Consider the following 16,784-nt stretch of genomic DNA (forward strand, 5'->3'; position numbering starts at 1 on the left):
TCAGACAGAGTCTCAACATCCAGGTGCTCCTCTAAATTAAAGCTTAATTTTCACAATTGGTAGAAAGCAGAAATTTGAGTCAACCAGCTGTTAACAGCCCACAGAAAACCAGCAAGCAGACTTAGTTATTTTTTCCTTAAGTGTAGAATAAATTGACTGACTGTATTGAGCTGTTTTTGTGTTTCCCCCTCCAGAGATGTCACTTCCCTGAAGAATTTCCACCAACATATAACCAATCCTTTCAAAAAACAGGCGTTCTCTTAAAATTAATTCTTATCATTTTCTAATCCACAACATCTTAAAGTGGAAAATGTAATTTTTCTAAGCAGAAGTATATTTTGTTTGTCTCCAAGTAGATTCTAAATTCCAATCAGATTTAGTCCAAATGCCACTTAATGACTTTGTGTTCCAACCCAGATAACAAGACAAGCTGCTAACTTACCATTTGGTGACAAATACCTCTTTCTTCAAGTTTCCCCCACTGGTGTTATTATTAGCAATGAAGAGAGTGGCTCATAAGCAGACTTTTTCAAAAGCTAAAGCAGAGCAGGGTAAATTTTCATCCCTCATGTTTTCCCCATAATCTGTAAAATATTTCACTTAGATTATCATGATTTTCTAAAACTTTAATATATTTACTACAGGGAGATTTTCTAAATATGCTGTTAATTAGTTTGTTCATTCCACAAACATATTTAATTGCTTCTAAATGCTAAGCACAGAGAAATAAAATTGAATGAGATTGAAGAGACTAATATCTTCAATTGAGGGAGGCAGGGGGCGTGTTTTCCTTGTTTAGGACGTGCCTCCAAGGCCTGTCTAGCATGAGGCTCCGCTCAGCAAATATTCACTGAAATGTGAACAACAAAGCTCTGCCTTCAGGATGTGGATAATCCTTGAAGACAAGTGCCAGGCACTCTTCTAGATTCTGTAGATAGAACAATGAGCAAAACAAATGCTGTGCCATCATGACACTTACATTCCTGTGCAGGGGAGCACAATAAACTAAACTATATATATAATATAATGTGTGACAGGGGCTCTAAAGTAAAAAAGGCAGTGTAGGAAGATGGGGAGCTTTTCCAGACTGAGTGGTCTTACACTTGGAAGAAGTTTCAGATGAGCTGAGATTTAAATGAAGTGAGTGGCAAATGTTGCAAATATTCTAGATAAAAGTGTTCTAAGCAGAAGGAACTAATTAATATGCAGGCAACTAACGATAACACAGTTTGCAGCTAGTATAATGAGGTATGTGGCCGAGTTTGGTAGCTGTCTACCAAAACTCCATTTTGTCTTTCTGGTCACCCAGCTAGACCACATGTCTCAGCTGCCCTTGCAGTTTGAGTGGCTTTGTGACTTGTCTTTACCAATGGACTGTGAGAGAAGTGGTAGGTGTCACTTCTGAGGCAAGGCTTTAAGAAACAAATATATCCACTCCATGCTCTCTTCTTTACCCTTTCACATAAAACGGAACACAATGGGGCTAGCAGAGCCATAACGTGGAAAGGGCCTGGGCCTATACATCACTGCAAAAAGGACAGTCATCCAGGCTCACGCCTATAATCCCAGCACTTTGGGAGGCCAAGGTGGGCGGATCACCTGAGGTCGGGAGTTCAAGACCAGCCTGACCCAACATGGAGAAACCTTGTCTCTACTAAAAATACAATATTAGCAGATCTTTTTCCATTGTCATATCCCTAGGACCTGGCACAAATCCTGGAAAATGGTAGATATTCAGTATTTATTGAATAAATGCTACTGAAAGCATGAAAAAAGCAAGTAGGTCAATAAGTAATTGAGGCAAGGGTTCAGCAGGGGTTTATGACAGCGACACTTTAAAGAATGGGGCAAGTGGCTTATAAGGGCCTGGTAGGATGGTTGGGGTGGATATTCTTGGCAGTGGAAAGCGTATAAGCAAAGAAAGGAAGAAAATACATGACACATTTGAGGGACACGGATCCCAAAGTGTTTCCATGCTTGTGTGCTTTTCATTCAATAAACATTTAGAAGCATCTGTTATGCGCTGAGCACTACTATAGGTGCTGGAAACACAAAGCCTGGTAAGGCCAGGCCCTGGTGAAGAGGAAGCTTGAAGCACACAACACAAGGAAGACATAAAAAGAAGAGTGGTAATGCTAGTGGGGTCACTACACCGTCGCTGCGTCCTGAAATTCCAGCAGACACTGTCCAGGAAGATTAGCTGTGGGCAGGCACATTCCAGCAAAGGTACGAAACAGCATGGCAGCTCACAGAACTGCGAATAGTCCAGCCCCCTCAAAAGTAGGCTCCATGATGGCAATGACTTTGTTTTATTCACTGCTGAGTCTCCAGTGCCTAGAACAGGCCCTGCACTTTGCAGATTTTGAATGCCTAGACATTTGAGGGGAGGGGATGAGGTTATAAATAAGGCTATAAAGGAGGCATAAACTATGGCATAACAGAAGGAATTCAAAGAGCTCTGATGGGAAACAGTAAGGCCAGATTTGTGTTTTACAAGAGCATTCTAGTTGAAACATGCTTGAAGGGGTGTGATACCTGGACAGGAAAAGCAGGTAGTAGATGACTGCAATGGCCCAGGCCTCAGGAGAGAGGAGATGAAAACTGAAATAAGACAACAGGAGGAAAGCAGGGGTAGAAAGAAAATCACAGGCCGGGTGCGGTGGCTCACACCTGTAATCCCAGCACTTTGGGAGGCCAAGGCAGGCGGATCACAAGGTCAGGAGATCAAGACCATCCTGTACAACATGGTGAAACCCCATCTCTACTAAAAATACAAAAATTAGTTGGGCGTGGTGGGGCATGCCTGTAGTCCCAGCTACTCAGGAGGCTGAGGCAGGAGAACTGCCTGAACCTGGGAGGTGGAGGTTGCAGAGAGCCGAGATCGCGCCACTGCACTCCAGCCTGGCAACACAGCGAGACTCTGTCTCAAAAAACAAAACAAAACAAAACAAAACAAAACAAAACAAAAAAACAGGATTTAAGAACTATACGGGGAGGACTGAGAAGGCTTGTGATACATACATGTGTATGTGTATAGTGTGTGTATATAAGTATATAAAAAGAGAGACTAAGACGACTCCTAAATTTAAGAAAAACCAGGCTTGGGGAAAACAGTAATTCAATTTTGCATATGTTACACTTGGGATGCTTTAGAGTATTCTAGGAAGAATGTGTCCAAAAGGTAGCTTACATAGGCATGATGTTCCCAGAAAAGGTTTGGTCTAGGGTCAAAAACAGAACAGCATTCAGGTGAAAGCTAATGTCATGGGAGGGAATGAAACTGCCCAAACATAGCCACCACTTACTGCTGTGCAAGCTGTGCACTGCACAACTCCTGGGGCTCCAGTTACCGTGGGTCACTGCAGCTTTGTACAGCTATTACGACCATTTTTTGGTAGATGAATATAATGTATCTTGAAAGAGAGGTACCTGTTTGTAATTCATCAAAGTCATCACATAACAATATGTTTGTTAAAGGAACTGCCAGAGCAAGCAGAGATGAGAGGAGGGAAAGAGAAGAAACCGGGAGAAGGCAGGTGAGGGTGAAGAGGGGCAAATCTACTTCATTTTTGCCTAGGCTTCATTTTAAAGCTGATCTATAAAAAATCTTACATCCTCTACATTTAAGATCTCAACGATTTTATTAAGCCCTAAGCTTTCAGGGTCTTAACAGATTGTGTTAATACAGGAAATATCAGGAACTTCCTGAAAGCAGTCCTCGCCCTGCTTTCTCATGGACATCTCAGTGTTTGTCCTTTGGCTCATACATTTGAGGCCTCCATTTTCTTCATAAAATAACGATGACAATGATGAAAACACCCCTACACATACACATGCACACAGACACAGTTAACAGTTCTCCTCTAGCTTTCCACACACTTTTCAAGAATTATGAGAATGGAATAAAAATCACTTCAGGGCATTTTCAAATGGCTTTTCCAAAACTAGAAATAAGCATAAGTAACTGAACAGCTGTAATGGCAAAGAATGCTAGTGAGTTTCTATAGCAAGACGTGCTGTGTCAAACCAGTGGTTCCAAAATGGAGGCAATTCTGGGCCTCCCTGAGAGGACATTCGATAACATCTGGAGACATCTTGGTTGTCACCCTATTGGGGAAGGGTGCACTGGCATCTAGTGGGTAGAGGTTGGGGAAGTCTCTAGATGTTCTATAATATACAAGACAGTCCCCACCACAAAGAATTACCTGGCCCACTACGTCAACAGTGCTGAGGCTGAGAAAATCTGTGCTAAATCATAAGCTCCTTGAGGCCTAGAACCAGTAAGTACTTTTTGGCAAAAAGCAGACACACACACAAAAAACGTGTGATGAGACAAAATTAAATGGGAGACAGTTATCACACTATATTGAAGAAATGGGCAACAATTTCACTTTTCCCCAGCCCCTCCTGTTATCACTGCCTTCCTTCTAGACTCCCAATCCAAATTACATGAAAGCCAATAACAGGCATTAGAAACCTAAATGATACATACAGTTTACATGCTTTTCTATACACCAAATCCTAGCATTTCTATCAAATTCTTACCCCAAATGAGTAAGATCTTTGAAAAGTATAAACATCTTTTCCTGTGTAAAATCCATTATTTTCTAAGAATCACATGAATAACAACATAGCCTCCTACGAATATAAATAAAAACACTTCTTGATTATTGTTCTCCTACATACTAATAAATGCAATTCTGGCAGTTAATTTAGATTAATGAAAGAAGCAAACAGAATGAAGTAAAATCAGAAGCTAAATATAGGTGATCTAAGTTAATCTCACTGAGTCCTTTTATCCCATTATTAATTAATGCTTCCCACACCTAACCTAAGTAGCCATTCATTTGTTGCCCCAAATTGAAATGAGGGTAAATAACTTTCACACATTTTTTAAGGAGGCATCCGATTTAACTGCTGAGGCTTGGGTCTTGACATTAAAATTGACTGTGTTTCTAAATTTTTTTTTTTTTTTCTTTTTTGAGATGGAGTCTTGCTGTCACCCAGGCTGGAGTGCAGTGGCATGATCTCGGCTCACTGCAGGCTTCGCCCCCTGGGGTTCACGTGTGTTTCTAATTTTTAAGGCCCTACTTTAATTTCTACTGTCACTAAATAAAAAAGAACAAAAGCTTTTTCTTTTAAAAACCCTAGACATCATGTTCCTGCTTCTGCTGGAAAAAGAGACAGGATATCACCATCTCAAACCAGCACCTTTCAGCAACTGAAGCCTTTTTGTCCTCACCCTGAGTGTTAAGACAATGGCTCCCTCACACGTCACAGGCCCTGGAAGTGCTACAACAGCTGAATGGGTTTTCATGGGACATAAATCACTTTCCCACTACCTGCCACCTACAAACCTACTTCTCATGAACCTTGGATCCTGCACAATATGGCTCGTCATATCCTTTGTGACTGCTATGAACAAGGGGACTATTTGCATGAGTAGATAGAGGGCATTTTTCCTTTTGACGGTTGGTGTTTTTCCCCCTTGTTCCTTGAATTTTTTTTCATTAAAATCACAGAAACATTCAATGTCCACATGTCAGTTAAATTTTCAACTTATACTTGCATGTTTCATATAACTGTTGAGCACTTTAATAAGATTCTTGAAAGCATATTTATCTGTCCATTTCCTAATATATCTCCATATTCTTATAATTTTGCATGAGAGCTTTTGAGCAAATTTTCATCCCATTTTGGGGGCCTTAAAGAACTGAGGAGAAAATATACACAGTAGACCACGCATTTACTGATTGACAATGTTTTCCCATATACAAATTTCCTAAATTCACTTATTCCTCTTGAAACTGAATTGCTGAAAAGAATAATGATTAAAGATATTCTTGTGGATGTGACACCACCTACATACATCTCATCCCATTGCTCTGTATTAAATTTGGACTGCTTAAAGTAGGAGTTATATATACTTGTTATGGGGACCAAAAAGCTGCCTGGAATTTTGTAGCCTTTATCACAAGCAGCTGAGAGGCTGTCTGAGAGTCACATAAGTAGATCACAGCTGCCAATGGTCAGTCCAGGTGCCTGTGTTCCCTCCTTTTTCAGTGGCCTAGAGTACATGCTTCACCTGCATGCCCCATTCAGACAAGAACAGATGCTGCTGCAACAAAGTGGTCCAACCACAACAAACAACACTTCTCTGTGAGCCATGTTATGCCAAAGCCTCTGCAGGCACAGATCATGAAGCAATTTAATACAAGCTTAGATAAAAAGCCAAGTGAACAATCTAGAAGCCAAAAGAAAACACAAGGGAAAGTTCCTTAGTTTTAGCGAGGAGAAGAAACAGGCAGAGTACATCTCCAGGGGAAATGAGAGGAAAGGGGAGGGGAGGCAACAGCTGTCCGCCAGGTCTATTTCAGGGAACCGGTGAAAACGTTATTTCCCTTACTCTGGCAACTGAGATTATGAGTCCTTATAATCCGTGCTTATAATTCTCAACTCTTTCTAGGGTCAGGAGGAGCAAGTGACATTGAACAGAGCCCAAGCAGAACAAGAATTATGTGTGCTGATTGTGCTAAACACAAAGTGGAGCCCCAGCATTTTTCTGAAAGTGGCTGGAAAGCAATCTCTAGCTTGGCTTGTAAAAACCTTATGGCGGGTGGGGGTGGGGAAATGAGGGATGCATCTCTCCCCTAAACAAGTCTCACAGGAAAAAATATCCATTAATGAAAAGACCTTTGCATTAGAAAAAGATGGCAGTGGGGATGTATGCTGACAACCTCGAGAATAATACCAAAGGCTAGAGCCAAAACATGTGATTCCAGTGTCAGGCCAGAGCCCAGCTGGAGCAGCCATGGGAAAAAAAGATACCATACAGAGGAGAAGCAGGGGGCCAGGGCTGAGTGAAGTGGGTGACAAATTGGTGCTAAGGCACCACAAGCGGCAGGCTTGTTTTCTCCCGCCTGATGTTGTAAGAGGCTTTTACACTGGAAGCCTGGATGCTGTGGAGGAGGGCGGGTGGCATATATGCAGCTGAGCTTTACTCTGAGACAGCAGGATGCTGTCACCACCAGCATAGCAGGGAAAACATGACGCAAGACCCATCTGGGACAGGTGGGTGCACAGCCCTTGGCAGGGGCACCGCACGCAGGACAGGAGATTCAAACCCCAACACAACACATTCCCTGGGGCCAACGAACAAGCCTCGGCCTCAAGAGGAGGAATACAAATACTGGAGCTGATTGTAGCAGAAACAGCTGTGCTGCAGCCTACACGGCCAAGTGCAGGAGACGCTGGCATGATGTCTTCAAGAGGGTGCAGGCTCCCGAGTAGTGCAGCTACAAAGCTGCCCCCCAGGGTTTAACTGGCCAATTCTTGCAAAGGGGCACTCAATAAATAATTTGAAATTTGAATAAGTCTCTCCATCCTGCCTACTCCCAGCACAAAATCCATCAACAGACTGGATCTTCTCGTAACCTGTTGGGCCTATGAGGACGCAGAAGTGCAAAATACATTCCCTGCCCTCAAAGGGTTTATTGTCATCTAGGCCCGATGGTTCCTTCCAAATTGTGGGTAGCCTCCTACAGTGGATAGTCAAAATCAATTAAATGGGTCAAAATAAACACTGTTTTTAACACACACAAAAAAAGAAGAAAATGTTCCTGTGGAACTCTTAATTAAAATGTATGTGCCCATCACAACATTAAAATATATTCCTTACTATGGGACAAATTAAAAATAATTTCAAAAATAACTGATTACTGAAGAAACCAGGCACATCTAACCATTTACAAAGAACTTTTACACAATTGGTTTTACAGAATCCAGAAATCCCAGGATCCAGCTATCATTATTATGCCTTTTTTCAGTGGTTCGGAGATGTGGCTGCCTTGTTCAAAGCAACACAGCACGGTTGGGATGTAATCGCAGATGGGTCTGCCTCCAGTATGTCCTCAAGTACCACAGGAGGTCAGAGAAGATGATGGTGAGCAATGAGGGCTAGACACAAAAGGAGAGAGAGGAAACCTGAAAGGGGCCTGGAAAGGCAGGGAGGACTTTGGCCAGGGCAGTGGGTCAGAGAAGTAGAAACGAGTTCAGTTAGTTGTTGGCGGTGGTGGCGGGGCGGGGGGCCTGGTCAGGCGAGTGTTCAGTCCAATATAGCCGTGGGTACTGGAAGTTCAGAGCAGACTAAAGGGATTAAACAGACTCATCTGGTCTCCATCAGTCCTGAGACTTCTCTAGCCTCTTTGAGTTTCACTTTCTTCATCTGTAAAATGGGGATGACAACAGGATCTACTTGAAAGGACTAAATGAAATAATACATGCACACTGCTTGGGCTCAATATATGATAGCTTAAAAAAAAGGAGTCACATCACCTACGCAGAATCTTGCACCAATAGAGAAAATGAACACTTGTCACTGTATTTGGCCCTCACAACAATCCTATGAGATAGGCAAGATGGGTTTTTAGAGCTCAGGAAACTCCAGCAGACAGACAGAATGACTTATGCTGGGGCTTCTGACCCAGTCCTCTTATTCCACAGGGAAACAAGTAGAAAATAAGTCTGGAGGCCAGGCACGGTGGTTCCCGCCTGTAATCCCAGCACTTTGGGAGGCCAAGGCAGGCGGATCAAGAGGTCAGGAGATCGAGACCATCCTGGCTAGCAAGGTGAAACCCTATCTCTACTAAAAGTACAAAAAATTAGCTGGGCGTGGTGGCACGTGCCTGTAGTCCCAGCTACTTGGGAGACTGAGGCAGGAGAATCGTTTGAACCCAGAAGGCAGAGGTTGCAGTGACCCGAGATCACTCCACTGCACTCCAGCCTGGGCGACAGTCCCCCACCCCCAGCCCACCACCAACCCACCACAAAAAAAAGAAAAGAAGTCTGGATCACTCAGGGAGGCAGACAGAGGACCTCAGAGGCTAGGCAAAGAAATTTAGACTCCCACCAATAACAGTTAGGGCTTAAAAGGGTTTTGAGGAAAGGAGATGGTGAGTGAGGGAGAGAAGATATAAAGGCTTTGAAATAAAGATAGCATACTGCTCTTAGAGTTAAACTTTAAAAAGCCAAGACATGCAAAATCATCCTGGAGAAACAGCTCCAAGCCCTAAAGAATTGAAAGTATTATATCTAAGGGTAAGAATGTCAATCAGAAGGGCTTGGTCAGATTTGAAAGTGGAGGAAAGCAGATAGTCAAAGAGAACAGCAATGGCCTTGCCACTCCCAGCAATATGTAGTGAGAAAGGGCCTGAGGCAACCTCCTGAGCCTTGGAGGGTCAGGACCCACTGGCAAAGTCAGCCTCACTGTGGAGAAGGATGCAGGCAGCTGAAGCCAACTCACTTGGGGTATTCCCACTGGCAAGCCTCCTGACTGTGAAATGGATGCCTCGGACTTAACCTTGATGCCATCTGACACTTCACTTCTCTTTGTTTTTATTCCATACCAGCCAAGTAAGCATCTGATTATGATTTGGCTTCCCACGAAGGCCTGACTACAGGAAGAAAATGTGTACTAGATGTTCCCACACCAGAATCCCAGGCCATGAAATGGAAATAGAAACAGTTCTATTCTCATTTTAAGGCAGTAAGCAGACAATCTGGTTTTATATATCCACTTCCTGAACTGGGATAACACGATGGAGAGATTAGCTCTGGCTAGGCTCATAAAATCAGTTTCTAAGCCTTGGTCCTCAGGGGACCAAGGATGTCCACTGGAACACACCGCCCTGCAGAACTCCTTGGGAAAACCCACTCTGACCATCTGCAGGGACGTCCTATTAGAAGGGATGTGGGAGGCAGCCTGATCTGGCTGCGGCAGAGTGCAGGATGGCTGGGGGTGCTCGTGTCAGCAAGCTAGCTCACAGGCTACAGACATAAGGTGACCAACAGTGTAAACTAGAGTAGAGGCAGTAGGAATGGAGAAAAACAGAGGAAAATACAAGAGACACTAAGGAAGTAAAAGAAATGCAAAGATGACTGGAGTTTCTATCTCTGGGACTCAGAGTGGGGCCCCCACCTTGGCAAGACAGAGAAGAAAATTTGCTGAACCTGGATGTGATTTGAGATATGTTCATTTGAGATGACACCATCAAAACTATACTCAGTCCAATGACTGGTTGGGACCATGATAGGACCATATTCATTAGATTGCTTGGTCACTCTATTCATTTCACAAACATTTACTGAGTGTCTACAATGTACCAGATATTACTCTGCCTGTCACTAGGGACCCCTGCCTTCAAGGAACTTACATGGTCCAGTGGTGTTGGCAGAGAGGTCAATTTACTATCATAGTAAATATAGTAGGTTCTATGATGGGGATGTGCACAGAGTCCAAAGGGAACATCTAAAATAATGAACACCAAGAGAGAGAGAACAAAACTTTTTCAGCCAAAGGAAATCAATTTTCTTTAAACAGAAGAATCAATGTTATCCTTTCATCTTCTTGAAGTTTTGAATTCATGGAAATGTTGATTTTTAAATCAAACATCAAAATCCTATCTAATTTTACTTCCTTTCACCCTATAAGTGGTAAAAAACAAATAGCAAGAGGACTGAAAAATACTCTTAGCTGAGAGATTGCAGCAACACATGTAGAAACTCCCAAAAAAATAAAGGTACATGCCAGATCTGTGACAGCCCACAGAAAGGCAAACATCTAGTACATGGGCCAAAAACCAAACCATACGTAAGGCACTGCCTACGTAAAGACCACAGATTCATTCAGTTTCATCATCTGGCACAAAGTTTCCAAACTGCAATTCATATTAACAATTACTTTCCATTGACTGAAAATTTAAAAGATCACAAATGACAAGAAAGGTAAAACTAGAGAAATGTGCCTTGTCTATAGGGCATATATAAATGCTGACTGCAAATTTCAGCACTTAGCAAGGTGGAGGGAAAAAAGAAAAATGCCACGTGAAAAGACACAAACGCAGTGTCTGAGCCAGCTTAGAGCCAGGATAGGTTAGGCAGAGGGAGGAACAGAAACAGAGAGAGATGGACTCAAGAAAGTATCCACATGAAGCCATATTTGCCTTTGAGAACCTAATGTGACCTAAGCCCTTGACCAGGTAAACGCTCTCCCATTTTGCCATCTCTCCTCTTTCATACTCCACCCCACTTATGTCCACATCGCACCTCCTACAGACCTGAGCCAAACTGGCTCTGAGCAACGCGTGCTGGGGCCTCACCTACCAGTACCCTGAGAAGGCCTGAGAACAGGGCCTCTCAGGGTGCCTGAGAGGTGGAGGTTGCAGCGAGCCGAGATCGCGCCACTACGCTCCAATATGGGCGACAGAGCAAGACTCTATCTCAAAAAAAAAAAGAAATCCATGTAGTAAAAGTTACTGTAACTCACTCAGAGGTCAATGGACCACTTGTCTATTTTCCTCATTCTAGCAAGTTCTAGCAGCCCTGATCATCTGGCTTTCAAATCAAAGGCTTATTATAAAACAGCAAATTCAAAATGGAGATGGGCTGGCCACTAGCCCTACTGACAAAAGCAAAACCAGACAGCCAAGGAGGGGACACACATCACATAAAGGGCGGTGTGAAGAACCGCGTGGACCCTGAAGTCCGTGGCCACTCATGGAGGGCAGGCTGCACGGGGGAGCGCAGAAGGGGCTGCTGGCGGGGAGGAGGGAGTCTGGGGAAAGGGGAAGTGCACAGGGTTACTGCAGGGGGGTGGCTGGCAAACCCCAGGCAGCCTGGAGCATTGCAACCAACAAGAAGTTCTCCCACAAACCGTTCTGGCTTTTTTTTTTTTTTTTCAAATTTACAATGTTAGTATAATGACTAAAAACAGTAACTAAAAGCACTACTAAACTGATAACAGCATTTTTATTATACCATTCTGGGTGAGGTAAGTAAAAAAAAACCACATACTGTGCAAGGTTAGGAAAATTTGACATCAGAAAGGGGGCACTTGTGTGTGTAAAGGTGAGGAGCTACCCATACGGTGGAAGGTTAGCCTTGAGGCTGACAAACCTGGATGCAAATCACGGCTGCTCCTCTCAGCTGTGTGTATGTAAAATGGGCATCAAACTATCTACATCATACGATTTTGTAAAGGAAAGGACCCAGGGCAGTGACCATTTCCTTTGGTGAATTAGTTTGTTCACACGTTCAAGAAACAAGTAACAATATGTACTACCAGACATTGTGGATATAACAGTGAACCTCCAAAATTTCTGCTGTCAATGATATTACAGTCCGGTGGTGGAGAGAGACAAGAAAAGGCAATTACAATATAATGAGAGAGACATTTTATTTATTTATTTATTTATTTATTTAGAGACACAGTCTCAACTCTGTCACCCAGGCTGGAGTACAGTGGTGCGATCCTGGCTCACTGCAACCTCTGCCTCCCGGGTTCAAGTGATTCTCATGCCTCAGCCTCCCAAGTAGCTGCGATTACCACCACACCTGGCTAATTTTTGTATTTTTAGTAGAGACGGGGTTTCGCCGTTAACAATTTTTTCCAGGCTAGTCTCGAACTCCTGATCTCAAGTGATCCGCTGGTCTTGGCCTCCAAAAGTGCTGGGATTACAGCCATGAGCCACCACACTGGGGCAGAGGGACATTAAGACCGTAAGCATAGGCACAATGCACTCTAGGGTCCCTGACCAATCTACAAACAGGGAGAACAAAGCCTGGACAGTGACACAGTTGTGAAGATTAAAGAGCTTTAATTAATTCCCACTTACTTCAGCAAATATTTAATGTGGCTGTGTACCAGCACTGTTCTAGGGGCCAGGGTCACAGCACAGAACAGACTGAGACCGCTACCTTCATGAAGCTTACGTTTGGGAAAGCAGGAAAAGTAAGATCATAAACACTATAAAGCCTACTACGTCTCAGACATTCTGTTTTCAGAGGGCAAGGAAGACTTCAGAAAGAGTTCATTCAAAGTGATTAAAAGAAAAACGTTTATGCTTAATGGGGGAACCCCTCAGCTATCTGAAAAGTTAGCTGTCCAAAATAACACAATCCTAGCACTAGCTGAGGTTTTAGTGTGCTCCCCTTTTACCTTCTTGACTTCCTTTTCTCTTATACCCATTAAAGTAAATATGGAGATGAAAAGATGTTGTAAATACATTTCCCTCACGTAGCACCTCTTCCTCATTCACCTGGAACATGTTTACCTAGTGTGACAATGAACAGTCCAGATTGTCTAACTCATGAGAAAGGGCCATGTCACAATCACAGTGATTTGTTTAAAGAATCTTGCCCACTGCATAATTAGCCTGTAGGTCACCATCTGTCTCTAAGTCCTCATAAAACTAACCATATGTTGTTTTCATCAAGGGCTGAACAAAAGTAACATAGACCCTTCTCCAAGGAAAATGCTACACGTTTCTTATGGAGAAAGAGGATATTGAGAGAATGCTTGGCTTCCCAGTTATTAATGCTTGGCTTCTCAGTTATTACCATATTTCCTTTATATTTAGAAAATTTTTATTTTGTTCTGTTCATGCTTTGACCATGGCTATTAACCCAAGCAACACTAACAATTGCTAGAAGTTTCTGAAGGGGGCTCTTCTAGGAGACATTGGGTAAATAGGCTTAGGGCCTCCAAATTTTATTTTTCCTCTGTGGTTTGACCTCGTAATATGAAGAGAAAAACATACAAGCAAATATATCTTATAAACAGTTCTATCTATTGTCCATTGCATTTAAAAATGCAAACTCATGAAATAACAACTTTTTAAATTTTGTATTTTGTACAGATAGAGTCTATGTTGCCCAGGCTGGTCTCGAACTCCTGCGCTCAAGTGATCCTCCCATCTTGGCCTCCCAAAGTTTTAGGATTACAGGCTTGAGCCACCATGGCCCAGCCGAAATACCAACTTTTAAATCATAGTAACACTATTCTAAAGTAGATAACAACTACAAGAGAATCTAAATCATCACTTGAAACTGTTTGAAAACTGTCATCGAATACTATTTTGATTTATGAGAGCAAGAATTCTCAAACTGTTAAGTACTGATCTTCTCACATCACCCACCAAGGACTAAACAATCTTAATAAGAAGCAGAAGTACAAAATGTTCTGAATTTTAGTTTGGTTTAGTTCATTTTTTAAACAAAATATGGATAAAAATTATCCCAAAAATGTACATACAGCTTAAAATTACATGGCAGGGAACACTGAAGCATTTAGGTAACTCAGGAATGTTAGAATCTCATGGTACAAGTGGATCATTAACACTGCTCTTATGATGCAGAGAAACCAGTTCATCAACTGCCTTCCCTGAGGGCATTACAAAATTAATCTGATCCTTGGTCTACAGATTCACGCATCAACTGTATTTACAAAACTGGCCACAATGTCATCATTTTAAAAAGGCCAAGAGTTTCCTACAAGGCTAATGATCCCATTTGGCCTGGGAAAGTATTTGTTGAACTGAATTGAATGGTGCAGAGAAGGGAATTTTAACTTTCCATATATCCTGACTCATTAATCCTCAAGTTAACCCGTTACCAAAAACAGCCAACCTCTCAAACCTTTAAAGGTTTATGCGCACATCATATTTCACCTACTTACTGACCTTGAATTGCATCTCTTCATTTTTTCTAAACTTACCAACAGTTGATGGGCAGGGTTCCTCGTCATAGAGTTTCACTAAAGGTTTATTTTACCCCCTGCACTGAGAGCACTTACCTTTCTCACGTGTGTATAATTTAAGCCTAATTCTTACAGGATATTTAACAGTTATCCCTCAGAGATCTTGAGCATTCTCCTAGAGACCTCTTTACCTTATGGCACTAGGTCTTACAATGAATGTTTCCAGTCTAACAGGGCCTTGATCTTCTTAGCATAAGCTGCAGTGCTTCATCCAAGGGCCCTATCAAGGTTTCTCCCCTTCCTTCCACGGCAATGTCCTAGGGTGTCACAAAGAATAGTAACAGCAGCGTGATCTAAGGGCAGAGAGACAGACCTGGCTTCCCATCCCGGCTCATACACTTCTTGCAATCCTGGTTTCAACTTTTCTAAATGGGAATGCCATCTCCTCACCCTTATTCAGGGTAGCTATGACTATTACCTAAAAGCACGAAGGGTGCCTAGCGACGGACCTGATCCCCAACAGACACATGGTAAATGGCAACATTACTGAAGAAGTTAGAGGCCGCTCTGCCTGGTGAAGTCTGCTTTTTGTAATCCATTTAAATGGTCTTTGTCCACTGTCCAATGCATTTAAGTCCTCCTAAAAAAGAAAAGGGCACCACGAAGATTAAGAGCTAGCCAGGTGAAGAGGGTGGCAGCTGGAATGTTCTGGGCCACAGGAAAAGCACAGACTCCGGAGTGTAGGAGCTGAGAGGTGCAGACAAGGGCCAGAGCCAGAGCCAGAGCCAGCACGCTGAGTGGAGAAGGAAACAGAGTCTTGTGAATCCCCTCTGCAAGGAACACCTCATGACACAGGGAAAGCTTACAATGTAGTGGCAAATTTTTAAAAATAAAGTACAAACTCAACATGAACAAAATGGATCCATATATACAAATATCTGGAAAACAAAAAATATAGAAAATTATTTAAAATATGTAAGTCATCAGAGATAATCGCTACTCACACACACATTCTCTCTCAGATTTATACATAGGCTTTCTGAATTTTTCACAAAAGTATTTGAGCACATAGTATATCTCTAACAGGCTGGCGGGCTCTTTTTTTTTTTTTTTTAAAGCCCATACTGTCAGTCTCTTTTCAATGAGACAATATAACTCCTAATCTTTCAGATCTAAGCTCTTCAATACACATACTACCTGAGAAGTTTGAAAGCCCCCAGTGAACCTTGTTCCCCAGCTCTTTCTGCTGATTCCCTTCTCTCTTTCTGCTAACGAGACGTCTGTGGTTATTTACTGGGTAATTTCACCAGCCAGAACCACTGGGGCTAATCCAAGGGTTTCTTTTCCTCAGAAACAAAAACAACAGCAGCAAAATCTCCTTATTTATAATATTCAACACCTCCCACAACAGTCACATAATATTCTAGAAACTTTTCCTCTTTCATCTACAATATCCTGAATATTGTATTCAATGCCATTCCCATCCATCTGCGCCCCCCACCCCACAAAAAAAAAAAAAAAAGTGGCTGGGCGTGGTGGCTCACACCTGTAATCCCAGCACTTTGGGAGGCTGAGACAGGCAGATCACAAGGTCAGGAGATCGAGACCATCTGGCCAACATGGTGAAACCCCATCTCTACTAAAAATACAAAAAATAGCTGGGTGTGGTGGTGCATGCCTGTAATCCCAGCTACTTGGGAGGCTGAGGCAGGAGAATTGCTTGAACCTGGGAGGCACAGATTGCAGTAAGCTGAGATGGCACCACTGCACTCCAGCCTGGTGGACAGAGCGAGACTCCATCTAAAAAAACAATAATAATAATAAAGGTTATTTTATGTCCTTTCTCAGCCTCTGATAACTTAGGTTATTCTGTTGCTTTCTGGATATTCACATTATTTACAAGAAAATTAAAAAAAAAATCAAACAGTATTAATTTCCTCTTTCCCCCTCAATTCATGTACACAATCCACTTTGCCAACATATTAAACTTCAAATGTTTCAATTAACTCAAAATCAACCTGCAATGTTACAAAACTTAAACTTACATTGCTAAGTCTACAATCACCACAAATATTGCCTTTTTCAAAAAGGGAAAATTTTTAAAAACATAGTTGTATATCAACCAAATTAGATTGTCTGAATATGTTGATTTTTATCTAGATATTTTGATTTAAAAAATGTCATGGGGCCATGAGCAGTGGCTCACACCTGTAATCCCAGACAACATACTTTGGGAGGTCGAGATGGGAGG

At 42.3% G+C, this 16,784-nt stretch overlaps 1 protein-coding gene across 7 annotated transcripts in view; it reads right to left on the reverse strand.

Moving 5' to 3' along the window:
- TSPAN5 (tetraspanin 5) overlaps positions 1 to 16,784 on the reverse strand; it is a 188,245-nt gene that overhangs the window by 89,366 nt on the left and 82,095 nt on the right. The window contains exons 2-3 of one of the 7 annotated variants that reach the window (XM_047449473.1): positions 15,012 to 15,173; positions 14,725 to 14,850 (exon numbers count right to left, since the gene is read on the reverse strand). The exons of 5 other annotated variants lie outside the window; for them this stretch is intronic. The gene's annotated coding sequence lies outside the window, so the exon portion shown is untranslated. Of the gene's footprint in view, positions 1 to 14,724; positions 15,174 to 16,784 lie in introns of all 7 variants that reach the window. One more of the 7 variants, XM_047449472.1, reaches the window with a different exon arrangement.

Source organism: Homo sapiens, chromosome 4 (genome assembly GCF_000001405.40).
Source record: "Homo sapiens chromosome 4, GRCh38.p14 Primary Assembly".
NCBI lineage: Eukaryota > Metazoa > Chordata > Mammalia > Primates > Hominidae > Homo > Homo sapiens.